The sequence below is a fragment of the Homo sapiens genome, chromosome 19 (assembly GCF_000001405.40).
Source record: "Homo sapiens chromosome 19, GRCh38.p14 Primary Assembly".
In the NCBI taxonomy this organism is placed as follows: Eukaryota; Metazoa; Chordata; class Mammalia; order Primates; family Hominidae; genus Homo; species Homo sapiens.
The window spans coordinates 13,032,740-13,058,036 of NC_000019.10; the positions used below are offsets into that span (position 1 = coordinate 13,032,740).

The 25,297-nt window shown below is 52.9% G+C and overlaps 1 protein-coding gene across 14 annotated transcripts in view, besides 4 other annotated features; it reads left to right on the forward strand.

Annotated features, from left to right (window-relative positions):
- The window catches only part of NFIX (nuclear factor I X), a 103,322-nt gene that overhangs the window by 37,265 nt on the left and 40,760 nt on the right, over nt 1-25,297 (forward strand). The window lies entirely within an intron of this gene.
- Nucleotides 19,958-23,802: an enhancer, noted in NCBI's record as "VISTA enhancer hs1900". NCBI's record gives its function as "enhancer in: ear[3/7]" and the evidence as "EXISTENCE:transgenic organism evidence [ECO:0001131][PMID:17130149]".
- Nucleotides 21,605-22,191: an enhancer, noted in NCBI's record as "H3K27ac-H3K4me1 hESC enhancer chr19:13165158-13165744 (GRCh37/hg19 assembly coordinates)". NCBI's record gives its function as "activates a minimal SCP1, AML or CMV promoter by ChIP-STARR-seq in naive H9 embryonic stem cells {active_cell/tissue: H9 hESC(naive)}" and the evidence as "EXISTENCE:reporter gene assay evidence [ECO:0000049][PMID:30033119]".
- Nucleotides 22,779-23,364: an enhancer, noted in NCBI's record as "H3K27ac-H3K4me1 hESC enhancer chr19:13166332-13166917 (GRCh37/hg19 assembly coordinates)". NCBI's record gives its function as "activates a minimal SCP1, AML or CMV promoter by ChIP-STARR-seq in primed H9 embryonic stem cells {active_cell/tissue: H9 hESC(primed)}" and the evidence as "EXISTENCE:reporter gene assay evidence [ECO:0000049][PMID:30033119]".
- Nucleotides 24,539-25,125: an enhancer, noted in NCBI's record as "H3K4me1 hESC enhancer chr19:13168092-13168678 (GRCh37/hg19 assembly coordinates)". NCBI's record gives its function as "activates a minimal SCP1, AML or CMV promoter by ChIP-STARR-seq in naive H9 embryonic stem cells {active_cell/tissue: H9 hESC(naive)}" and the evidence as "EXISTENCE:reporter gene assay evidence [ECO:0000049][PMID:30033119]".

Genomic DNA, 25,297 nt, shown 5'->3' on the forward strand with positions numbered 1-25,297 from the left:
TCAGTGCTGCTGAGACCTTGGTGAGTAGGGAGTTGAGGCCAAAAAGAAATGGAAGGCCATGTTTGTCCAAGGTTTCGAACAAGAGACACCCAAACCAGTGCCTGTTGGGGTGCGTACCTTAACACATGTGGGCACGTCCCTATATCCCAGTAAGAAGAGGTGCAGCCTGCTGGTTTACATGCCTGTATGGAGGCCTAATTGTCAGGGCTTGGGAAGAGAGTGCCACAGACCGAGACTCAGGCAGGTGGTCACGGGCATCAGCAACAGGGAAGTGTGCCCATTGGGTGAGGGGGGGCTCACAGGGCCTGGTTGGCAGACGGGAGGAGGAGGCTGGGGGGCTGAGAGATAGATAAATATAGCTGATGGCATTTCTGATGATAGGTTTTTCTTGGCACCAAGGGCACCGTGGAAAACAGCACGACAAACGCCCGGCCCTGCAGGCCGCCGTCGCCATTTTAAGCATGTTTGAGTTTAAGGGTTGTTGGCGTTAGAATAGGGTCCCAGGAGGAGGAGGGCCTAGGGAGGAGAAGTTTGGCTGGACTGGACCTTACCCCCCAGGTGCCTGGGTCCCTTACTTTGTCTATAATGGATATCTCGTACCTTATTTCCTGGCCCTTTGGGGATTTAAAAAATATTCTGGGGCTGCCCTTTATGGGTCTGTCTCCCAAGTGACTTATTTCACCACCAGCTGCCATGGACTATCAGTAGGGGGCATCTTGGCTCTTCTCTCACTCCTGATGCCTTACTGATGACATGGCATGCCACCACCACCCCAGTACAGGGTACTTATTAGCTGTTATTTGGGGACACCCAATAACTTAAGGGGCACCTGTTTGTCCAGGCTCCTAACAACTTCTTGTCCCCTGTGGGCATGCCCTTGGTCTCTATCCCCTGCTTTAATTCCATTTTTCCATTGAAGGCCCTCTATGGCTTTAGCACCAGGCTAAGTCCTCTCTATGTATTAATTCCCTGAATTCTCACCCTGATTCTAGTTTTAAGCCTGTGCTCCTGGCTGGGTGTGTGTGCACTCAGGTGATGTGCATAATATGTGTAGTGAGGAATCAGCAAACCAGACCTGGGGACCAGGGAGGCTTCCTAGAAGACGACCTACTTGACCTGCACCTTGAAAGACAGTGAGGAATTAGCTCGTTTTGTCAGCTGCCTGAGCCTTCTCAGTGTGCCTGGAGCTGATTCCCTCCTCACAATGGTTGAGTGATATAGACAGGGCAGGTATTATTGTATCTACTGTACAGAGGAGGACCCGAAGTACAGAGATGACAGGGGACTCTGGTCACATGATGAGTTTCTGGCAGAAGGGGCCGGCTTCTAGGTCACTGAGTACCTGGAGCTCATTCTGAGGGCATCGCTGCTCCTTGAACTTCATCAGGATTACTGGCTTTGGCAGAGTCTCAGAGGAGAAAACCTCAAGGGTCCCTGTTGGAGCCAGTTTCATCATTGTGGTCTCTGTCACTCTCTAGAAGAGAGCCCAGCTTGCGGCTCAGCTCAAGGGCTCCCCCAGTGGCTGAGTATGTGGGGTGGAAACAGAGAATGGGCACCTGGCCCTGTCCTGACACTGGCCTCCCTCCCTCCTGACAGGCCATGGCTCCCTGGATCCCTGCCACCAACCTCGAGAGGCAGCATGCTAGCATAGACGGGCTGAGTCTAGCATAGACAGGGGCCAGGTTGGCTGGATGCTCTCACCCTGCTGCAGCCAGCTCTGCTTCTTTTCATATCTCCCTGGAGCATGGGGGAGGGATCCCACCTGACCTTCTCAGGTAGAGGAGGCAGGAAGTCTAGGTGTGAGGCCAGGCAGGTTCTGCTAGACCTTGGGATTCCTGATCCTTGCACTGTCACACCCTTTTCCTGGGAGTGTCCTTGGAATCAGTTTGAAATAAAAATGAATGTAATTATCATAATTAACCAGGTGATCGCTGGAAGTTTTACAATAATCTGCTACTCATTGCCTTTTTCACTTCTTCACATTGACTCTCACCTTTATCCCTTTCTTAAAGTTGGAAAACTCTCGGGGTGTGTATATAAAAACTCTCCTAGCATGACTAAGGCTGGGTTCAGGGAGAGGCTGGCTCACCGCTCTAGATTTTCGTCTGTGTCCATGATAATTAGACAGAGGCTTACCTCTCACCATTGATATCAGCTCCCCTTGAGCAGCATTTCCCAACTGCGGAACTGTTGACATTCGAGTGAGATCATTCTGTGTCTTGGGGGACTGTCTTGGACATTGTAGAGTTTTAGCGGAATCTCTGGCCTTGACCCGCTAGAAATCAGTTGCACCTCCCTCCCCAAGGTGTGACAACCAAAAATATCTCCAGACATTTCTAAGAGTTCCCTGGGAACAGAATCATGCATGGCTGAGAACCTCTGGCCTGGAAGAAACAGGGATTCAGACAGAATGCCACCTGTGTTCACCTCTTGCCTCACCGCCAGTTTAGGTCCTCATTTACCTTGTGTTGAATGTCGACTGAACCTCTGAGCATCGTCTACTCCTGTGTGTCCTGTGTTGTTTTCGCTTTTCCGGATAGCAGAGCCCTGGGCTGAAGCAGTTTGGGGGCTTTCCCCTTTCACCTCCCCCTGGTTGGAACTGTAAGCCTGCCTCCAAGTCCCCTACTGAGTTATTCCTCTCTGATTTTTTGCATAGTGGTCTCTGTGTGCTGGGGCTGCTGATCTGGGGAACAGGACAGGGGATCTGCTACTGGGCTGACCCAGGCCTGTGCAGCAACCGGTAATCCTGTCAGGCCCGTATCAGACCCCAAAGAACAGCAGACGTTTGTTTCTGCAGCATGAGACACGGAGACCAGAACTGTTGTCTGGGTCTTAGTACTACTCTTTTTAAATGATTTGATTTTTTTTTTTTATTATAGTAGTAAAACACATTCTTTGTAAAAATTTAACAATAGAGAATGTGAGAGACAGACAGGTTCCCCAAACTACTGTCCTGTGCCTGAGACAACTTCACTTCGCAGATCCATGTTAGTTCTTCGAATTTTTTTCATCAATTCATATATCAAGTAACTTTTAAATATAGAGGTATCTATTTTAAGAGCAGATGGTATGTTTGGGCTAATTGAATTGGCTCCGTCAAGTGCCATTGTGGTCTTAACTCTTCCCACCCGCTGCCTTTTGTACCCTTGCCCGCATCATCCCAAGTGCAGAGCCAATGTCCCTGTCTTCTTTTCCCTGAGGTGACAGTTTCAGCGTGTCATTCCTGGGAGGAGTGACCAACAGGGCATGTACTGGTGTCTGAGTGGTTAGGATCCCACTCTGGGGGATTCCTGCTGGTGGTATAACCCCGACCACAGAAGTCAGGGCCTAAGCCTCAGCCTGCCCTGAGATCCCCACCAAGGGGGCTGCGGCTGGAGGGAGGGGCCCCTGGGAAGTATCCTGCTTGGCTGCACCTGGCTTGGCCTCTGGAGTCGACTTCCCAAGTCTCCTAGGAAGGCGAGGGCTCTCCTTCGTGTGGAGTAGACCCTTCGCCAACTGGCCTGGCGTGTCCGGGAGGCTTCCTTTCTTAAAATGGGGGGATGAAGCGTCAGTCATGCTTCCAGGATTTATTTCATCATAATTGTTTGTTTTGGGTTTAACAATACAGCAGGGAGAAGAGTGGCAGAGGAAGAAGAGCGTCCTCTCCAGGCCAGGGGTGGGGCTGTGGAAATGAGAAACCGGACGAGACAGAGAGGGAATCCAGAGAGGGCTTTGCGGTTGAGTCTGCCAGTCTGGAGAAGGCTGCTCTCCAGACAGCTGAGAGTAGGGTGACACCTGGTGACTCTTGTGGACTGGGCGGAGCTGTGTGGAGCGATCGGGAGATCCCCGGAGGCGACCTGCAGGAGGCCAGCCGAGTGCAGCCCTTGGGGAGTGTGTCCTTATTATGCCTGCAGATTATATCCCCATTAGCGCATAATTATTATATAATGGGCGTTATTGCATAATGGCAGTTATATAACAGGTGGCCCAGAATACAGACAGGGGGTGTAATAAGTGTATATCCTCTGGCTATAAATAGCCACCAGCCCCACACCAAATATGTGGTCACACCAGAGCCACCTTATAAATACCCGTGCTGGGCTATAAATTTCTGAGCAGTGACGTCAGCGGGCATGGTACCTAGTTAGGGGGTGGTAGGAGGGACCTGCGGCCCCACCCGGACACATGACATCATTGTTTCCTTAGTAACAGGAATGCTCCCGGGGGACCAAGTGAAGAAAGGCCTTTAAAGGGAGGAGGCAAATGGATAGGAAGCTTGAGTTGGGGGTGGGTGCTAAGCCTGGGCTGAACAGGGTGAGGTCTCCTGGGCAGAGTCCTTAATGGGTGAGACAGGCCATCTGCCCTTGGGTATTTGACCCAACGGGAAGCAAGGCAGTAGACTCCGTTTCCTTTCATCTTTAGGGGGTCTCAAGTCCCCTTTCCTGTGTGTAGCAGATTCTGCCAGCCTTGGCTGTGTGTCAGGGAGAAGAGGGGAGCTACAGAGTCTTCCCTGTCCTTCTCTCTCCCAGGTGACCTCTACAGGGCTCTGGGGCCACTTGCTTAAGGGAGACCCGACTTCTGCACCCGGTCATATCCTCCCCAGGGCATGACCACTTCCCCTACCAGACGTAGTAGGCCAGTTTCAGCCTTAGTAATCTAAGAAATATGTGAGCAATTTGATGCGGATCTCAGAGAGCCTCGTGGAAGTAATGGCGCTGAGAGATGGCGCCTGGGGAAGAAAGAGGAGACAAGGATAGTATTCTGGCCCCAGAAGAAACTATGAGGTGGGATATAATCTTTTTAGGTGTATGGGAGATTGCTTCATATAGGGTGGGGAAGAACTAGTCTTCATAGCCCTGAGCATAGAGGAGGAAATTTGCCTTTGGCAGATGAGGGGATTGGAAGAAGGCTGGATGACCAACTCGTCCTGGTTTGCTCAGAGTTTCACAGCCCCTCACCTCGGTAAACCCCTCAGTCTCCAGCAAACTGGGATTGTTGGTCACCCTAGAACAGTGATTTTCAACCAAGGGCAATTTTGTCCCGCAGGGAACATTTGGCAATGTCTGTGAACACTTTTGGTTGTCACAGTTGTGGGGGGAGGGTGCTATTGGAATCTAGTGGGAAGAGTCTACTGCATATGACAGTCCCCCAGGAACAAAGAATCATCTCGCCCCCAAACGTCACAAGTGCGGAGGTGGAGAAACCCAGCCTTAGAGGGAGAATAAGCAGACCCTGCTGTGCGTGGTCTCTCCTCAGGACGCCTCTTGCCTCTGCTAGCAGAGTGGGCTGCTTGGCTGCCTTCCTGAATTTCTTGCAGCTCTTGTTTTCTGTGCTTTGATTGGTTGTGTTTAGGGTTCTGTGGCCTGGAAACCTTTTCTAGGAAATCGTGTGGCTTCTGAGAGGGTCTTTCCCATCTCAAAGCTCAGAGACCCTTTGAGACAGTGCCATCTCAAAGTGAGACAGTGCTGACAGCAAGCCCTGCCAGGCAGTATGGTATTGGTGTGGATCCTTCATCTGTTATTTAAAAAAGAATGGAAAAATCATCAAATACCTATCCCTTATTGCCTACCAAAGAGTTTCTAAAAGGCAAAGCCTGCCTGTTTTCCCTGCCTTTCAGGTCACCTCTTCCCATATAGACCTGAACAGGCCACTGCGGCTCCTGGGGCTTCCTGAGCGTAGCAGTCCCAGGGTGAGAACTCACTTCCATAAAAGCCAGTTTCCCAGACCCAGTGACCAGGGCTGGACTCTGCCACCCAAAGAAGCTTCCCAAATGAAACAAATGAGGCAGGAGCAGGAGAGAGCCAAATCCTATTCTGGCACATGGAGTTTACAGAAATCTAGGTTCTAAGTGTTCTCATGTCATTTATAGAAGTTTCCGTTTAGCCCGGCATATGTGAAATGTAATCATGAAAGCATAGCAGACACTGTTTTTCACCTGCCTTTAGTGCCTGTTTAGTTTACTACCTGGCTGCAGTTGACTTGGCGCCCTCTGGCCTTGACCACATGCATAGCGTGGCCAACTGGGTCATCGTTTCTGCTGGCCTCGGACAGGGCCCACAGATGAAGGCCAGGATGGTGGTGGTGGCGCAGTGGTCTGGTCTGCACCAGAGATTTGGCCAGAGAGAGGGGATCAGCTGGGCTGTGGGCTACCCGTTGTGTGTGTCAGGCCCAACTTTTGAGTTTGGACTTGAGATTGAGGCAGCTAATAAGCGTGGATGGGGAGGAAGGGCCCAAGGGTCTACATGCAAGGTCCTGCCTGCTGTGCCAAAGGGGACTCTGTGGGGAACAGTGCTGGCTCCGAACACAAAGGCCATTGCTCCATGGAGCAATAATCCTCAGGATATTGCCAGCCCAAAAGATATGGCCAAGAGAGAGGCCTCTGCCCTGAGGACAATGGCCAGATTTCTCTCACTTATTTATGGTATCGTGGTTTACAAAGTGGGCCCAGCACACAAATCTCTGGGCATAGTTTCAAATACATGCATTTCTTTTAAATTAAACACCCCCCCCCACACACACACATACACGTGTGTGTGTGTGTGTAGGGTCTGTTCAAGCCCTGCTGCTGCCCAGGAGTGTTCCCAGCCACGTGGGACAGTAACTGAGGATGATGGTACTGAAGCCACTGTCTAATATTAGATTTTGTAACTCAGAGATTCATTAATATAATTACTCAGATGCCAGCCTGGCTTGGCAAGGCCTCTTGAATTGTGTTCCTCTTCAACAAAGTGCTCCGGCTGCAGAAATGCCCCTGGTGAGCCTGAGCTCTGCTACCTTGCCTGTGAATGGGGCAGAAGGCATGTGTTGGCCTCCTCACTGCACCCTGGGAGAGGCAGTGCATCCCCATGGTGGCAAGTCTTGCCTTTACATGTCTTGTCACGAAAACAGGGACCTTGGAGAGTCTGCTGCAGAGGGGAGCAATCTGCTGGGCGAGGCCCCGTTTCTATGCAAGTTGGCCCTGGGCTCAGCTGGGGGCCAGTTTATTTTGCTCCGTTGTGATACTTAGCATGCAGTTTTTAGTTTCTCTTAGGCTGGAATCTTGGAGCTGGGACTGTGTTTTATCCGCCTTTGCATCTGTCTCTCGCGCAGCTTATAGTTTTATACGCTCCATAAACCCATTTTGAATATTGAATTACCTTCAGATGGGAAGCAGCCCATGGCCCATCCTTGAGATGATGTAAAGGCTCACGATGGTATAAAAATCAGAAAGGGGGCTGATGAAGGAAGAGAGCCAAGATGGGAAAGTGGCAGGTGTGCTCTCTGAGTGGGCATTATGAGGGGAGAATCCTGACAGAGGAGGGGCAGTGGAAGCTTCCAGAATGCTGGAAGGAGTGTGGCAGGCAAGTGAGAAGCTGTGGGTTAATGGGTTCAAAGAGACTTGGTTTTTCAAAATACTTGTTTTTATTTTATGTGAATGAGCTCTCAGGAAAATGGGGAAGGAGCAGCCTTCTTCTCAGCCCCTTCCTTCACCCCTGCCCCCGCTGAGTACCTTGTTACAGGGGCTACTGCTTGGTGGGCTCAGCCCACCCCACCCTCTCATAGGCCTTTTCTTGGTCTCCTTGGCTGTCCCTGCTAAATAGTCATCTTTGGGGACATCCTCCCTTTTGGCCACAAAGCACACAGCCCCCCAGAGGCCATGTCCTCTCCAGACTTGGTCTGCGGAGCAGCCAAACTCACTCGTGACAGGGTCTCTTCCCGTGCCAGATCTTCCCTGCCACGCTAGCCTGGTGGATGCCCTGCGGCAGGGATTGGCAGGGATCAGTCCTGGGCCCACTGGGATTGCTTGCCTTTTGCTCTGAGGCTTTTCCTCGCCTCCCTCCCTCTCCTCAGGAGCCCTGGCCTCCAGGCTCCTTGTATGGACAGACTCATGGCTGCTATTCCTGCCCTCCATCTCCTGGAGACCCCTTCAGTCTGGGCCTCTCGGGTCAGAGATGACTGCCGTCCTCCAGCTGGTACATGTGCTTGCGGCTCTGGTAGCTGGGTTTGGTTATTAACAATGAATTATTAAAGGAATGTGAATAGGGAGGGAGGTTTGTCTTTCACACACTCGCGCACACACACAGCCACTTCTCGAAGCAGATCTTAAAGTTGATTCTGCTGCCGCTGCTGTACCTTTGCTTGCCTCGGATCTTAGAACTGTTTCCAGTAGTTTTTGAGTGAATTCCGAGCACTCCACTTTCTACCTTAAGACTCTCTAGATAGCTCCTTCCTCCTCTCTCACCTGGTCCTAAACCTCTTTCCTCTGGCCCCATGTGCCAGTTCTTGACTTTCTCTGAGACCGGTTTTCCCCTCTGAAGTCCTCCTTGTTCAGTGGAAAGGTAGCTAGAGGCCCACCAGGCACCCGGTCTTGGTAGTGTCACATGCCACAGCATGACAGTAACATGAGGACATTTCCCTCCTTGCTACCACTCTTTGGGCTGGAGTCCACTTGAGCATGAAAGTTCAGGAGGCCAAGCCTGCCTCTCACAAACTCTGGACACACAGGGGCTTAGTTTCACGATCAGCTGATTATGTTGTTCTATGATTTGGGGAGTGTGCCTGGTACGTACAGTCCCTCATCTGTCCACTGTTTTAAAAAGGTTATTTTTCTTATTATAAGACTACTGTACATTCATAATAAAAATACAAAATTAGCATGAAGTCAGGGGGTGGAAATTAAAATTATACAATTATGCCACTGAAATAACTGCTATTAACTTTTGTTGCATTTTCCCTTACTTATTCATGCACATATTTTATTTTTTACTGGAATTTATAGTATAGACACTTAGGGATGCTGCTTTTAAAATTTAATACTGCAGGGCGCAGTGGCTCATGCCTATAATCCCAGCACTTTGGGAGGCCGAGGCAGGCAGATCACGAGATCAGGAGTTCAAGACCAGCCTGACCAACACGGTGAAACCCCGTCTCTACTAAAAATACAAAATTAGCCAGGCATGGAGGCACATGCCTGTAATCTCAGCTGCTCAGGAGGCTGAGGCAGGAGAATCACTTGAACCCGGGAGGCAGAGGTTGCAGTCAGCCGAGATCGTGCCACTGCACTCCAGCCTGGGCAACAGAGCCAGACTCCGTCTCAAAAAAAAAAAAAAAAATCAGTACCATTGTGTATTCTACTATGTCGCTATTTTTCAAAATCTAATTTTTAGTGGTTTAGCATCTTTTCTTTTTCTTGTTTGTTTGTTTGTTTGTTAGTTTTTGAGATGGAGTCTCGCTCTGTCGCCCAGGCTGGAGTGCAGTGGCGCAATCTCAGGTCGCTGCAAGTTCCGCCTCCCAGATTCACGCCATTCTGCTGCCTCAGCCTCCCGAGTAGCTGGGACTACAGGCGCCTGCCACCACACCTGGCTAATTTTTTTTTTTTTTTGTATTTTTAGTAGAGACAGGGTTTCACCATGTTAGCCAGGATGGTCTTGATCTCCTGACCTCGTGATCCGCCTGCCTTGGCCTCCCAAAGTGCTGGGATTACAGGCATGAGCCACTGCGCCTGGCCTTAGCATCTTTTCTTGTTAGCTGCATTACCCCTAAATTGTCAACTTTTCTAATGACTTCTGTCCCCTATTCCCTTTTGAAAATGAGAAATTACCTCTTATTATAAGTGTAATAGGTGCTTACTGAAAAATAAAAACATGCTTTTACATGCTTTTTTTTTTTTTTTTTTTTGGAGACAGAGTCGCTGTCACCCAAGCTGGAGTGCAGTGGCACTATCTCAGCTCACTGCAACCTCTACCTCCAGGGTTCAAGCAATTCTCATGCCTCAGCTTCAGGAGAAGCTGGGTTTACAGGTGTGCGCCACCACACCTGGCTATTTTTTTGTGTGTTTTTAGTAGAGACGGGATTTCGCCATGTTGGCCAGCCTGGTCTTGAACTCCTGGCTGCAAGTGATCTTTCCGCCTCAGCCTTCCAAGTGCTGATATTACAGGAGTGAGCCACCATGCCTGGCCTGAAAAAGAAAAACATGCTTTTAAACAGCTTCATGAGATTTCATCATGCCAGAGCTGATGTAAACCCCACCCCCACCCCCACTGAGGCCTTTGAGTTGTGTTGCGTTCATCCCCATTGTAAATTCTGCTGGGATGGACATCCTATTACACCAAGCTTTGTAGCTGTATTTGTTACCTTCAGCTAATGCTTCCTAGCAGTTGAATTACTAGGCAAAAGGTATGGACTCTCTTGAAGGCTCTTCGTCCATCCTGTTAAATTGCCATCTGGAAACTTGACACCCTCAGGCAGCACGCAAGGATCCATCTCACTCTGTCCCTGTACCCTGATCCTATTCCCCAGAGCCTCAGAAAGATGTTGCCATCATTGTACATATCGTGTACATTGCACATACATGTCATGTCAGGATGCACTTTTACAAGTCAAGTCTCCCATCCCTGTCATAGGTGTATGTCCCGTTCCTGTATTTATTCTCTGCATCAGCTCACACATTCCTTGATGGACACATGGTGTTACCCAGTGTAAAAGCTAATCATGGACATCAGCCCACATTCTCACACCCTCCAATCCATGTTTTTATGAATCTGAGGTGCCCCCTTCCAGGCCTCTGCAGCCACTTCCTGTTAGCACTGCTAGAAGGGGAGGGACCCTTGGGGGTCACCGTGGCATGGCAGTTTCCTCTCAGCTTCTGGCCTTGGGACTGCAGAAGTGGCTCTTGAGACTGTCTGGTGGTGAGCAGGTGCTGGCCATGGTATCTTAATGGCAGCAGCCCCCAGGTCCACTTCTGAGGTGCAAGCCCATGCTGGCCGCCAGCACGTGCCAGAGAGCTCCTGAGGAAGCAGCTGCTGCTGACACCTGAGGCCAGCTGCGCAGTCTGCCACAAGGCCCCTGGGGCTGCCAAGGTCGCACATGTCCTCCCAGGACTTGAAGGGGGACCAGGGGAGGGTGAGCTGTTGCTGTGGACTGTGGACTTTGACATCACTCATAGACACCCCCTCTCTCACCCTTGCATCCCAGACAGTGTCCCCCAGGGCCATGCAGGCAGGGACACACAGCCCCCTTGTGCCCTGCCCCAAGTCCCTGTGTGTAAGTGAGCATGCTCTCATCAGACTTGGTCCCCACTGCCATGGCACTCTTATCTGTGTGCCTGAATATGCATGCTTATTCATCTCGAAAACTGGGCCGTAGGGCCAGGTGTGGTGGCTCATACCTGTAATTCTAGCACTTTGGGAGGCCGATGTGGGAGGATCATTTGAGCCCAGGAGTTCGAGCCTGGGCCACGTAGCAAGACCCCCATCTCTATAAAATAAAATTTAAAAAAAAAGAAAAAAGAGAAAATCGGGCCTTATATCATTTTCTACATCCTATTCGGCCCATGGAAGCGTAAGTGTCTTCAGCCTCTGTTGACCCTTGTCCCCCACCCTTTCTCTGTGATACTCCACCTTACCCAGAACCTGACTGTCCTCAGGCCCTGGGTAGTGGGAGCTGCCTCAAGACTCCTGAGGCCCCACAAGAGGCTTTTGAATTGCAGCAGTGGATGTGGGTAGTTGTGTAGGACAGAGGGAGGCGACAGCATCGTTTCTCCCCTTTCTTCCTTCAGCTGGGGCTGTGGCATGGCAGTGTGGGCCATCCAGTGTCTAGAGGGCTTGTGGCCACGCAGTCGTGGGTGGGATGCATATGTTCATGAGGTTTGCTCTGTTCTTTCCTCTGCAGGGTGTTCAGGATGTGCTAACCTGCGGGTGTCTGTGTGGGTGTCTGAGTGTCAGGAGGTGGGTGTCTGTGTACAAGTATGGGTTGGGGTGTGTGTGTATAAATGTCAGCTTAATTCACACCCCAACAACGTAAGAGGAAACTTCTCAGTCATGAGGTTCAAGTTCTTGTTACTCCTATGAGCTGTAGTAGGAGTGCAGTGAGTAGGGGGCACAGCAGGTATGTAACCCCTGGGCCCAACTCCAACCTGGCCCCTGTGGCTTGTAGCTTCTGAGTCAGAGGGCGTGCATGCTTGTGAGAAGTGTCAGGCCTTTCCCGTTCGCTCAGCAGCTGAGCAGTTCCTTTCTGGGGTTCTTTGTGAACCTGCCTCGCTATTAATCTACCTGTTAGTAAAAGAGATTACAATTGTCGTAATTACAGGGCGCTGCGTCTCCACCGTCAGGACTGAGCTGAGTGAGAGGCAAGGGATGGGAGGAACCCAGCCCCACAGGAAGCTGCTATTAAAAGCCCTCTGTTTGGATATGGCACAAAGACAACAACCCTTCCCGGGGGCTAAGGAGATCTGGGACAAGAGGCAGGTCAGGTTCCGGGGGTGAGGAGTGGGCTAAGGTCCCACTGCAGGCTGTGGGATGACACGGGATGACTGCAGTACTGAGGATGGTGAGAACAGCGGTGGCCCGCCGGCAGCTCAGATACCTGGGAGCAGCACAGGGCTCAGCACCCTGACCACATGGGCTCCATGCTGAAGGCTGCTTTACTTCTGGACAGGCCTTCACCTGCATAGAATGGAAGAGACCTGGTGGCACTTGTCATGGTGAGACAGTGGCTCTCTTCTGAGGGAGCTCCACAGCCACCATGGATTTAGGTGGACAAACAGTGGTATCCTGGTCTGTGGCTAGCATGGGCCCCAGAGCTGTGTGTGATGCATGTGTTCCTGATAGCACAGGGGTTCTCAGTGAGGGTGGTTCTGCCCCTAGGGTATATTTGGTAGTGGCTGAAAACAGTTTTGGTTGTCACTACTTGGGATGGGGTTGCTACTGGCATCTCGTGGGTGGAGGCTGGGATGCTGCTAGCTGTCCTACACTGCACAAGACGACCCCCCATAGAAGACAGTATCTAGCCCCAGCATGAGGGGTAATGAGGTTGAGAAACCCTGACTGAGGCCAAGGAAAGGAACGGCAGCAGGGCAAGCCAGGCCCAAGGAGGGCTCTAAGAACTCCCTGATGCTGAGTCTGGAGACCTTGGCCCACGGTGCTCAGCAGTCTGTTGCCAGGGAGGTAGGAGAGAGGGGCAGCAGGCACACTGGGTTGACAACTGCACTGTGTTGACCCCATGGCGGGCATCAGGGGACCACAGGCTGTGGTTGCGCCTGTCCGTTCTCCCTCCCTTTTCTCGTAGGCTTCTTCCTCCTCCAGTGCAAGAGCTGGATCCAGGATTGGAGAATTTGCTCTTGCCCACCTCTCCATGTCCTCGTTGCCGACTGAGGCACCTGGGAGTGAGGGGCTTGGACATTCTTCCTCAGCTTGAGCCCCATGGACCCCTCCAGGTGGGAGGAGTCCAGAGGAAGATACGCAGAAATAGGAAGGGCTGACACTCTCCAGCTTCCATCTTGCAAGGACACAGGCCCCACCCTGGCTTCTCCCCAACACACATCTGGCCTGGTTTCTGCTCTGAGAAATGGAGCTGGGTGGGGCAGAGGCCTGGCAAGTAAACCTGGATGGAGTGTAGGAAGCCTCCTTCCACCATTCATTCCTGTTGACCAAAGGGGCATCCCTGCAGGCACTCCTGCCTCCTTTTCCACTTTTGTTTTCAACTTTGACTCCCACTACCAAGGAGTTCTCGGGAAAGAGGGTAGGCCTGTGGGTTAGGAGGGCACCATGGAGGGTAGTCTGTGGGGCTGGGTGAGATGGGTGTGGGAACGCAGCCCTGTGTTTAAGGGTATGTGTGCTGCCTGCTTGCTGTGGGCAGGGTGGCTTCTGATGCCCTCCCAGCCCTTGGGCCACTGTGTCTTGTGTTTTCTGCAGACAAAGCATGGAGATTTTCAGCTGTTGTGAATTCTGCGTTTCACACCGAGTCCCTAATAGTGGAATCGCGTTGCCTTCCCCCCCCCTCTTTTTTTTGCCTTGACAGCTCCAACCTTATAATTTTACCTTCTTTTTCCTTGCATACACTCTTTTTCTTCCCTTTCCCGTTCCTGGGGCTTTTGCCATTCATCGCTGGGGACCCCCTTTAGGAGGGATTGCTCCTGACAAGAGGGGAGGGGCTTCCTGTCAAACATTGGGAGTTGATGTTTTGTTTGGTAAAATGTCTGTAAATAGGCTGTGAGGCAGTCGTTCTACATGGATCCCTGTGTATGCCAGCGTCTTTTTGTGTCTGAGCATGTCTCCAAGCATGTGAATGTCAGGAGCAGAGAGAAAGGGAAGGGAAGAAGAAGGGAGGAGAGAGAAGAGGGATGGTGTTTGGGGGCATTGGGATGGCTCTCTTCCTTCTTGGTCTAAATCACAGAGCCTGATCAGGAGAGGGTCAGAGTTCCAGACTCTTGAAGAGTCAGGAAGAACATCAGAAGTGAAGCTACTGCCATCTGAGGTGGCCCTGGGTTGGCTATTCACAGAGGGCTGGAATGGGATGATGGGGCTGTACTCCCCACTAAGGCTGCCAGATCTGGAACTTGACCTTGAAGTCTAGTTATCCAGGACTCTTAAGGCTCTGAGGGTAGGTTGTAATGGAGACTGTTTCTCCTGCCCAGCATCAACGATGAGCCTTGGATTCTTGGGATCAATATCAGTCTTCCACCGTGAATGGGAAACCCATTTCTCCCTGGAGACAGGTTCCTCTGCAAGACCACTCCCTTATTCTTTTTTCTTTCTTTCTTTCTTTTTTTTTTTAAAGTAGGACGCCTTGTTGCTTTAGATGGACTCCTTTGTTAAGCTTCAGGTAGCTTACCTATCCTATGATTTGATTTACAGCAAACTCACTAAAAACATTGGTCAGTTTGATTTCAAAAACGTGGCCACATCCATTTTCCCGCCATCAGCTTTCCAGACCACAGAATGCTCTGCTTTTGAGCTGCTCCTCAGCTGACACCCTCCTTGAATCCATTTTGAGTTGCTCTTCCCTGGCCCCATTAGAAAATGTCGGCTCTGACTACACCATGCTTGCGAACAAAGGTGCAGAACAATTTTGGCTGCTTCGTCCAGGAAATAAATTCCTCTTCGGTGCCAGAAACCATTGAGTGGTGCCATGTGTTGAGCTCTAGGCCCCAGAACTGTGGGCAGGGTTATTGCTCAGGGTGAGGAGTGTGGAAGCATAGGATAAGGAGGCCATGGGGAGGAGACCCTTGCTTCCCGGACATCCCCACGTACTTTGGGTCAAGAACCTGAGGACTTGCCATGTCCCCTGCTCTCTCTCTCCTGGCTTTCCATCTGCAGTTGCCCATGGTATGGCTGGTCTGTGGACTTGGGGAAGACAGGCCCCTCTCTTTGTCCCATGGTGGCAGCATTCCGGCCCGGTTAATTGCATGCCACCCTTCCCAGGTCCTCTTGTTCCGTCTGCTCGATGAAGGTAAAGGCTGATTTCCCTGGGATCTGCCCATGCTCTGCTTCTCGACCTGTGTTTTCACCTGTAATCAGCAATGCCACTTATCAGTGTCTCTGAACCCTATCTCATTTAAGCCCATGACAGTCCAGTGAACTCGGCACTTTTATAATCCTTGTGTTATGCCTAGAAGCTGGCAGACGGAAGAATCTTGCTCAAGGCCACCCACTAGCGAGCAGCAGCCCTGGGGCCTGTCCCCACCCTGCACATCTGCCCCTCACTGCTGACCACCCTGGCTTATCTCAGGGTCTGATTTCTCCTTGTGAACTCTAAACTCTTCTTTCCAGCTACCAGGCAGATGCCTTGTGGACAGCTTGCCCCCGTATCCACAAGGTACCTCCCAGTACTCCTGGCTGCCCTCTGCTCCCTGCTCCATTCCTTGTCTTGGCTGTGGGCATCACCACCTAGCCAAGCACTTGAGCCCTCACAACCAGACTAACCACAGGCCGGTGAAAGGGCTGAAGCCTCCCTGCCTTTTCACCAGGCTGAGTTTTCAGAACTCAGTGTCTTCTCCTCTCTGTTGTATTTTTTTTTTTTAATTCCCCATCTCCCCAGGTTGGATTTGTCTTTTATTAAGATATAATTCACATAATAAAATTCACTATTTTAAAGTGTACAAGGCCAGGCATGGTGGCTCATGCCTGTAATCCCAGCGTTTTGGGAAGCCGAGGCAGGAGGATTGCTTGAGGCTAGGAGTTCAAGACCAGCCTGGGCAACACAGGGAGACCTCATCTCTGCAAAAAATAAAAAATAAAAAAATTAGCAGTACTTGGATTTGTATTTTATTAAGATTTAAATCACATAATAAAATTCAGTATTTTAAAGTGTACAGGGCCAGGCATGGTGGCTCATGCCTATAATCCCAACATTTTGGGAGGCCAAGGCAGGCAGATCACTTGAAGTCAGGAGTTCGAGACCAGCCTGGCCAGCATGGTGAAACCCTGTCTTTACTAAAAATACAAAAAAAACATTAGCCAAGTGTGGTGATGCAGCCTGTAATCCCAGCTACTCGGGAGGCTGAGGCAGGAGAATCACTTGAGCTCAGGAGGCAGAGGTTGCAGTGAGACAAGATCGCGTCACTGTACCCCAGCCTGGGCGACAGAGCAAGACTCTGTCTAAAAAAAAACAAAACAAAACAAAAATTAGCCATGCACGGTGGTGGCGTGCATTTGTAATCCTAGCTACTTGGGAGGCTGAGGCAGGAGGATTGCTTGAACCCAAGAATTTAAGGTTGCAGCAAGCGATGATCACACTACTGCACTCCAGCCTGGGCAGGCAACAGAGTAAGACTGCCTCTAAAAAAAATAAAAAATAAAAAAATAAACTAAAAATTAAGCATAGGATTCAGTGCCATTTAGTACCTTCACAATGTTGTGTAACCATCACCACCATCTAATTCCAGAACAATTCCATTGCTCCCAAAAGAAACTCCATACCTATTAGTTGTTAGTCCCAATTCCTCATTCCTCCTAGGCCCTGGCAACCGCTAATCTGCTTTGTTTCTATGGATTTGCCTAGTTGTGGATGTTTCATATAAATGAGATCATACACTATGTGGTCTTCATGTCGGGCTTCTTTCACGGAGCATAATGTTTTCAAGGTTCCTATATGTTGTAGCAGCAAGTGTCAGTGGTTCCTTTTTTTTTTTTTTTTGAGACAGAGTCTTACTCTGTCGCCCAGGCTGGAGTGCAGTGGCGCGATCTCTGCTCACTGCAACCTCTGCCTCCTGGGTTCAAGCGATTCTTCTGCCTCGGCCTCCTAAGTAGCTGGGACTACAGGCGCCCGCCACCATGCCCAGCTAATTTTTGTGTTTTTAGTAGAGACAGGGTTTCACCATATTGGCCAGGCTGGTCTCGAACTCCTGATCTCGTGATCCGCTCACCTCGGCCTCCCAAAGTGTTGGGATTACAGGCGAGAGCCACTGCACCCGGCCAGTTCCTTTTTAAGGCCAAATAATATTTAATTGTATGGCTGTGCCACATTTTGTTTATCCATTCATACATTGATGGATATTTGGGCTCTTTCCACTTTGTGGTGTGAGTAATGTTGCAGTAAACATGCATGTACAAGCATTTATGTGGATGTATGTTTTGGATTCTCTAGGGTATATACTTAGGAATTGCCCTGTCCTAGAGTTTCATAACTGCATTCCTTGTGCATCTTGTCTGCCCAGCAGTGCTGTCCCCTTAGTGGGCACCCAGGGTCTCTCTGGGTTGGGCCCCTGCTGACCCTTCCATCACTGCATTTCTTTACTTCTCCTATACTGCATATTCCAGCATTTGGAGCTCTCTATAGCCCCTGAGTGTGCTGTGCTATTCCTGCCTTTGGGCCTCTGCTCATGTGTATCTGGCATGGTCCCTTCCCCTTTTGTCTGACGGCCTCTATCTTTTTACCCCCGGCCTGGCTGTCACCTCCTTGGTGCAGCCTTGTCCCGCATCACTTCTCATCCTCTGAGGCCAGTCCCTCCCTCTGAGGGGGCCTCCATTTTGTCCATTACACACCAGCTTTCAGCTGCAGGGGGGTGTTACCCAGGCAGCTTCTCTGGCTCTGTATCTGTGTGGTTCCTGGCGTCTAGCAGGTGCCAACAAACACATGTGGAATTAACTTTAAGGCACTGCATGTGCTTTTCCAAGTGTGCATGTCACAGATCTGTGTGTGACCCACACAGATTTGTATGTCTGCCCCTGCAGACATACAAATGAATATAGAATCAAGGTGTACCTCCCATTACTCTCTGGACCCCTGGGTGTCGGTGGCCTCATATTTGCTTCTCTGTGACCCAGACAGGACTTGGAGAGCTCTAGAGTGATTCTGAGGAAACCCAGTCCCCTTTAACCCAAACAGGTGACCTAACTGTTCCAGACTACTGGGGAAGCTCTGGTCACAGGGGACATGCGACCTGTCTTTTGGCTCTTTCCCTTCACTCCTCTAAGCATGTGGCTGAGTAGCCTGCAGACAGATGGCCTGTCCCTTCCGTCCTTCCAGACCAGCCCCCTTGGAGATGGCCCTGGGCAGGGAGAAGGCAGGCCCCAAAGCAGCCTCCAGGTCCCGGGAGAAAAGCATAGTTGCTACCCTGGTGTTGTTGGTAATGACTTGGCAGTGGAGGGAGGAGGGTGCATACCTCCAGGAGGATAGTAGCAGGGGAGCCACGGAGTAGCTGCCCCATGGCTTGGGTACTGTGCTGCAGATCTCATCGCTGAAGGTGTGGCTAAGGCTGTCCCACCAGGTGTTTGGGATGCTGTCTGGCCCCTATACCAGCCCCACTCAGGGCCAGAGGGCTCTAAATGAGTCACTCAGCTCTGGCTTTGCCAGGTGGCCCAGGGTAGGGGGATGCCTCAGGTGGGCACATCACGGTGCTGCCAAAGACTCAAGGAGGAAGAGGGGTGTGTCTGGCCACTACCCAGAGCTCACTCAGGGTACTAGGGATGGAAGGGAAGAGGAGGGGAATGCTGTCTGACCTGACAGCATTGCACAAGTCAGCCGTCCTGCAAGGTGGCTCTTTGCTGCTTTTCTTCTCGCTGGTTCTCCCCTGTCCTTCTCTAGCTGGGATTCCAGCTCTAGTCAGCCAGTGACATCTCCCCCGTACCCAGGCCAGTGAGCCAGATTTTTTTCCAAGCCTCAAGTCAGGCAGGTTCGGGGAGGAGACAGCCTCTCAGGCGAGTGAGCTCTAGAGGCCCTTCCTCGGAGAAGCCCAGCCCTCCTCCTCCTCCCTTCTTGGCCCTCTCCTCTCCCTGGGCCTCTTCCCCACGTGGCTCATTACAACTCCAGTTGTTCAGGTCTTGACCTCAAGAGCCTTCCCTATTGACCCCTGACCAGCGATACTAATCTGTGTCAACAGGCCCCAGGGGTTAAAGAAACACAACCCGCCGCTGCCGCCTTAGCAGGTGCCTGGAGGGGGCGGGGCGGCTCCCGGGAGCAGCCGGGCGGCTGCGGGAAGGCACTTCTTAGGCGCCGCCTCCTCCTCACAGCGCCCGCCTTCTCCGCTCCGGCTTCATGCTCTCCAGGTTTCTCCACTTCCTTTGCAGACCTCCCTCCTGCCGATTACCCACTCCTCTGTGCCCCATTTCCCTTCTGTCTTTCCTTTGCTGTCCACTCTGCTTGCAGGATTTGGGACCAAACGCCCTCAGGCATCCAGGTGGTGCCCGGGTTGATATGCAGCTGCCTGCCCTTGCACCTCTGGGGGCTTGTTAAAATGCAGATCCTGGGGCTTGTCCAAGTGGGTAGGTCTGGGCAGGGCTCGTGAATCTGCATTTCCACCTAGTACCCAGGTGCTGTTGGTCCTCCAGGCTTTCCCCCTGCCTCTGCCAGCTGCTGCCTCTCTGAGATGTGCTCTTTTGTCTCCAGGAATGGAGCCATCCTTAGGAGACAGAGGCACACTGCTGGCCATCTAGGCTGGGGGTAGAGCCCAGATGGGAGCCCACCTGGATGGCACGAACCACCTGAGTGATCCCCCTGTTCTCAGAACACAGGTGGGTCACCTGAGGATGTCCTGGTGACGATGCAGGAGCTGCCAGGCAGGACCACCATGAGTCACTGGGGGTCATGCCAGTGAGCTTCCTGCGCTGCTGGCCCTGGCTCTGCTGAGGGCCATGTCAGGGTGAAGGGGGCACACTCCTGGCTTAGATAAGACAATCCAGATTCTCTCAGAGAAACAGTCACATGTCAGACATGTGCCCTTTCTTGGGCTGAACCTAGAGTTGTTCATAGCCTGGCCTTAACCCTGCCGATTCCATATACTGTGCTCATCTCGACCCAGTTGAGGCTGTGCTTCTGTGCTTCTTGGAACGGCTCGGCTCCAGGGCCGTGAGGTTGGCACCCCCTGCACCCGTCCACACACACAGACCAGAGGAGTGAGGATGATGAGGACAGGGACATTAATCACAGTTCTGTTCTGCCTGGCACTGCAGCCCAAGTCCCCAGGAGTCTGTGTCTTCCCATGTTCCCTTCGTCCTGTTCACAGGGAGGTGGAAATCCAGACAGAAACCTGCCTTCTCCTCCATCCCCACTTGAAGCTGCTGGTACTGCCTCTGGCCATCCAGCCTTAAGACGTCCCTTCCTTCCGTGTGGCCCCACAGCCACAGGCTGCCCCTCCTGCACAGTGCACACATGTCTGGCAGGAGATGGCCCAGAGAAGGTGCTAAGCAGAATGCGGGGTAGGGCTTCATCAGGGCCTGGTGTGCTGGGTGGTTTGACAGTGTTTTGTGGGGGTCTTTCCTGTAGCTCCAGGAAACCTAGATGGGGGTCAGGCTGGCTGAGGGAGCACCCTTGGGTGCTGCCCTTTTTCCGAGTGCTCTGCTTCTCTTTGACTTTACTCTCTATCCCCTAGTCACCCCAACCCACTCCTTTTCCTTCTTCCTCTTGGCTGTAGCTCCCTCACAGGGCTGGGGAGCAATAGACAAACTCTCCAAAAATATTTTTTTTAAGTTTCCCAAACTTTTCCAGATGCCAAGAAGGGGCCAGGGAAACTGCAACTGCAGAGGGGGGAAGGGGAGAGGAAATGTTCCAAGGCCTTCCCTCCCTTCCGCCTGGAGGCGAGGATAACTATGGGAGCAGGGTGACTCTGGTGCCCTCAGACAGTCCACCTGGAAGGGAGAAAGGCCCCTAACCATCCCACCCTTGCTACCCTCCAGCCCATCCTCCATCCTCATTCCCAAAGCCCCCAGCAGCATGTAGAGGTAGAGGCAGAGAAGGATGTCAGTGGGGCACCTAGGAACTTCTGGGGTTCAGAAGGGTGGATTTGGGACATATACCCCCACCAGTTGAGGGAGGTCAGGAGCTGAGAAGTAGGAGAATCTGTCCCCAAGGGCTCCCTCCCTGGGAGTCTGGGGCCTGATAGAAGAACCTGCCACTGCTGGGGTTGAGGTGTGGGGGAACAGACAGGAGGGGGTGGTGTGTGAGGACAGTACAGGGATCACTGCCCTCCCCCAGTCCCACCCTCAAGGGGTGCTGCCCCCACCTCTACCATTCTGTCCATCCACTCCCTGGACACCTCCTAAAACAAAGGCCTCTTTGTGGTCCTGGCCTACTGGCCTGCGGCCAGCGGCATTCTTTGCGTGTTTCCTGAGCACGGATCCCAGCTTCGTGGTCAGCTCCTCCCCCACCCAGCCTGCTTCCCGGCCTGACTCCTGGTAGCTCAGAGCAGTCCCCTCTCCTGTCCTGCCCAGGGTCCTCCCCCAGTTCCCGTCTCTACCGTGGACAGATCTGGACAGAGAAGGGAAACTCCCAGGAGCTTGGCCACTGGGCCTTCGGTGGGGGTTGGGGGACAAGTGGAGGTTCAACTCCATCCCAGCTCCAGCTGACTTTGGTGGGTTTCGCCGAGCCTCTGTTGATATGTTCTCATCTGTAAAGATGGGGAAAATAACCACCCCTTGGGGCTATCAGGCAGATTCAATGTCTCCAAAACACAGAGCTCCTGCTTGCCGCAGAGTGGAAGAGGCAGTGTGTAACTCGAGCTCCCCATTTCTGCACTGCTCCCTGGGTTCCTAGGGGGCTGGAGGTGGGCTTGGTGGGCGGCTGAGGAGCTCAGAGGAGTCTCCAGAGTCTTGGGTGGGACGTTTCCCTGCACTCCTGTGGGTGCCCCAAACCTATGGCCCACTCCTGGGAGTGCTGAGGCCAGTACCCCAGGGAGTCCTACTCCAAGAGTCGGAGCTGGGTCCGTAGCAAGTGGCCTGCCTGTCCTAGGCCTGGTCTTGCTCTGTGTGCCCCCAGCCCCTCCTGGCATCCATGTCACTCTGTAACAGCAGTGGGGTGTCCTCCCTGGGTTAGGCATACAGGGTGGTTGGTGCCTAGAGCCCTGAAAATAGCAGACCTGAGGAGGGCGGGGGTAGGGGGACCAAGGAGGGATGGCCCAGCTTTTGGAGAACACTTTCGAATGTCAGCAGATGCACACCCTTCAGTCACCAGCCACAGTCACACACAGAGACACACACAGTCCTAATGAAGTCCTAGATCACTGCTTTGGGGGGTTTTCCCCCCCTCTTGTTAAAAAATGTTCATAATTTGGAAAGAAAAGGAGCTTTTTACAAGCTGGCGGCTCTAGAGAACTTTCCGTCGGTTCTTTCTGGCCTCGTGATGGGTGGGGCCCACTTTTCCCTTCCTTCTCTCTCTCCCCCGCTCTCCTAATAATCCCCCCTTTCCAGCCTCACCAAACACACACACCCTTTAGGAGACCTCCCGCCGGCTGTCACCCCAAGAAAGCTGGAGGAAAGCCGAGGACCTGTCTGTGCCCTCCTGGGCCCCATCCAAGCGCCAGGCACAACCCTCCCCCCCTCCCCACTCCTCCCTCCCACTTAGAGGTTGGCCCCCACAGGCCTAGAGTCTTCAGATTGCTAAGCTTCCCAGAATCTGTGCCTGGACCCAGGCCCAGCAGCCTGCCTGCCCTTCCCCGAGGGCCTGCCCCACTCTCCCGCAGGGTGAGGGTCCCCCGAGTCCTTCTTGCATCCGGGGGCCCCGCCAGGGAGGGCAGTGCTGAGCTCACCGCCTCGGCATCTGCCCTCCCCCTGCCTCTGGTGCGAGGGCCGGCCGCACTCCCGCCAGTGCCTTGCTCCCTAATAGCTTTTTAAGTCCAACCACATGTGTCTGTGGAGTGAGGAGCCGCCCCTCACGGGGCCTCGGCTCTCCTCCTCCCTCAGCCAAGACCACCCTCCACTTGGAGCAGCCTCAGGGCTGGGGGAGGGGGGGGTCTGCCTCCTGAGAGCCCATCTGCTCGCCCCGGGCCTAGCTGAGGAAGAAGGGGGCGGGGGTCTCTTTTGGGAGTGTCGCGTGAGGCCAGCCCTCAGGCTCGGCTGGCCCCAGGTTCCCCAGCCTCTCCTCTGGGTCCTGCAGTCTAGGATCCTCTCTCTCTGTAGGGCAGGCCAGGAGGGACTGGCTTCTGGGTGTGGGAGCCTGGGTGAGGAGTCCTCATCTCACCTCGCGCCTCCCTGGCCAGGGACTTTGGCCAGCAAATCTCTCCTTGCACCCAGCCCCACGGAGGTGACCCCCCAGTCGCCCCTCAACTCAATATACGTGTGGTTCCCTGTGCGTGTGAGTGGTCTGTGGGGAGGCCTGTGGGGTGCGGTTTCGCAGGAGGGGAGTGAGGGCTGAAAAGCAACGAGCTAGCAGGCTTGGGGTCCTAATGAGAAAATTGCTTCCAGCCAGGGAGCCCTGCTCTGCGGCTGAAATTGCATCCAGCCCCAGCCAACTTTGCTGCCGCAGTACCCGCCCTTCGGAAGGAGTTGGGGAAGCAGGCGGGCAGGGGGAGGAGCGGGCTTTGCACATGACTCAGGCCCCCCCACCGCCCCGTTCTATATGAACACACCTTGAAGAGTCTCTTCTGCCTCACGGGGAGGAGCTTGAGGGTCAGGCTTGGCTCTGGACCCGACCGTTTGATCCTTGGGAGGCAGAGGAGGGAGTGGGGAGGGATTTCCTTTCTGTTTTGCTCAGTTCTGCTGCACTTATGAGGTGCTCACTGTGTGCAGAGGGCTTGGAGAGGTGAGCTTGCATAGGCTGGGCCCACATAGGGTGGGCCCACCCACCCGGTGGTATTCACTCTTACTGTTAAAGGGTGTTAGGAGCACTTTGTTTTCACAAAGATCCTGCGTGGAGTCCCGCCTTCTAGGATGCTTCATTTGAAATTCGGCCTCCCTGGAGTGGGGTGGGACCCTCTTGCCTGTCCTTCCACTCGGGAGCCCAGTGCCTACACCCGAGGCCAGGGAACCCAGGGGTGAAAACCTGGCTTAGCTACATTCTTCTTTCTGTTCCTCACTTACTTGGACCATTGAGCAGAATCAGCTGCAGAATTTGTGGGGCCCAGTGCAAAATGCAAACTCAGGGCACCTTGTTCAAAAATTAAGAATTTCAAGACAGCAACAGTGGAAGTCAAGGTTATGAAGCCAGCCCTGCTTCCAAGGAAAGCTGGTACCACCCAGCAGCCCACTGGTTCAGGGGCTGTGGCCTTTGCCCTGATCTGAAACAGGAGGTTCCACCTGCTTGTTTCCTGGATCCTGGGGAATCTCTTCCCAACCTGGGACGGTGGTCTCCCTGCTGCTGCATCCCTCAGAGACTCTAACTTTCTGGATTTTAGAGATGTTGCTTAGGGAGGAGGGCTATGAGGGGAGGGAACAGAATGAGAATGGATCACACCTTCAGTGCTTAGAGAGTCTCAGGGCAAGGCCGCACTTGTCACCCTTAGGTGAACCTGACAGTGGAACCATATCCCTGGTGAGGTGGAACCTGCAGCCTGCTGGGCCCAGCCAGTAGCGGGTCAGTGGGACCTTCCCCTCCTCGGGTGGAGCCTCCCCCACCAATGACAAGTTCTGACGGCTGTGCCTGTGCAGAGCGGGGAGCGAGCAGGAGTGCTTGGAGGGAGGGAAGCAGGCAGGAGGAAGGAAACAACCCCATTGTCATCCCCCAAATTACTGGCTGGGATGGCAGGGGAGGAGGCGGAAAGCCGACATTGTTTACTTAATTAAAAGTAAACAACAATTTGCCGCTGCCAGCCTCCCATTAGCTGTGTGCGAGGAGCCCTACGAGCTGCAGACTCGGCTTTCGCTCCCACCAAGCCGGCTCCTGATGCCACACCCCCAGCCTCGGCTCCCCAGGGCCCCGGGCCCTCCCCTGCTCATGTCCTCCTCAGGCTGAGGAGAGGGGAACAAGCTATTAAAAGTAAATAAATACATAAAAAGAAAACCCACTAGTGTCTCAGAGTCCTGTGGGTCAGGATAAGAATGTCAGAAACTGTCATGTGGCAGGCCAGCATGGGGCCTAGAGACCCCTGAGTGTGTACACTGAGGTCTGGTTGTGGTGGGCTGGGCAGGGCAGGGGGCACTTCTTTGTCCAGTAAGCCAGATGTTGGACTACCTGGGGAAGGCAGCCCCTCCCTTCCTCCCTCCCTCCCCGCAACCGAGGCCCTAGTCTATACTACCTGGAAGCCTGGGCCTCTCTGCCCCAACTCCCACTTTTTCCTTTTCCCTTTTAGCAGCTTATAAACATCCTTCTCCCATCTTTTTGGCTCTGCTCCCAGAAGGGGGCTGTTCAGGGATCCTGGAGGGCTGGGGAGAGAGGCAAGCTCCTTGGGGCCTGAGGGGAGAAAGACAGCTGG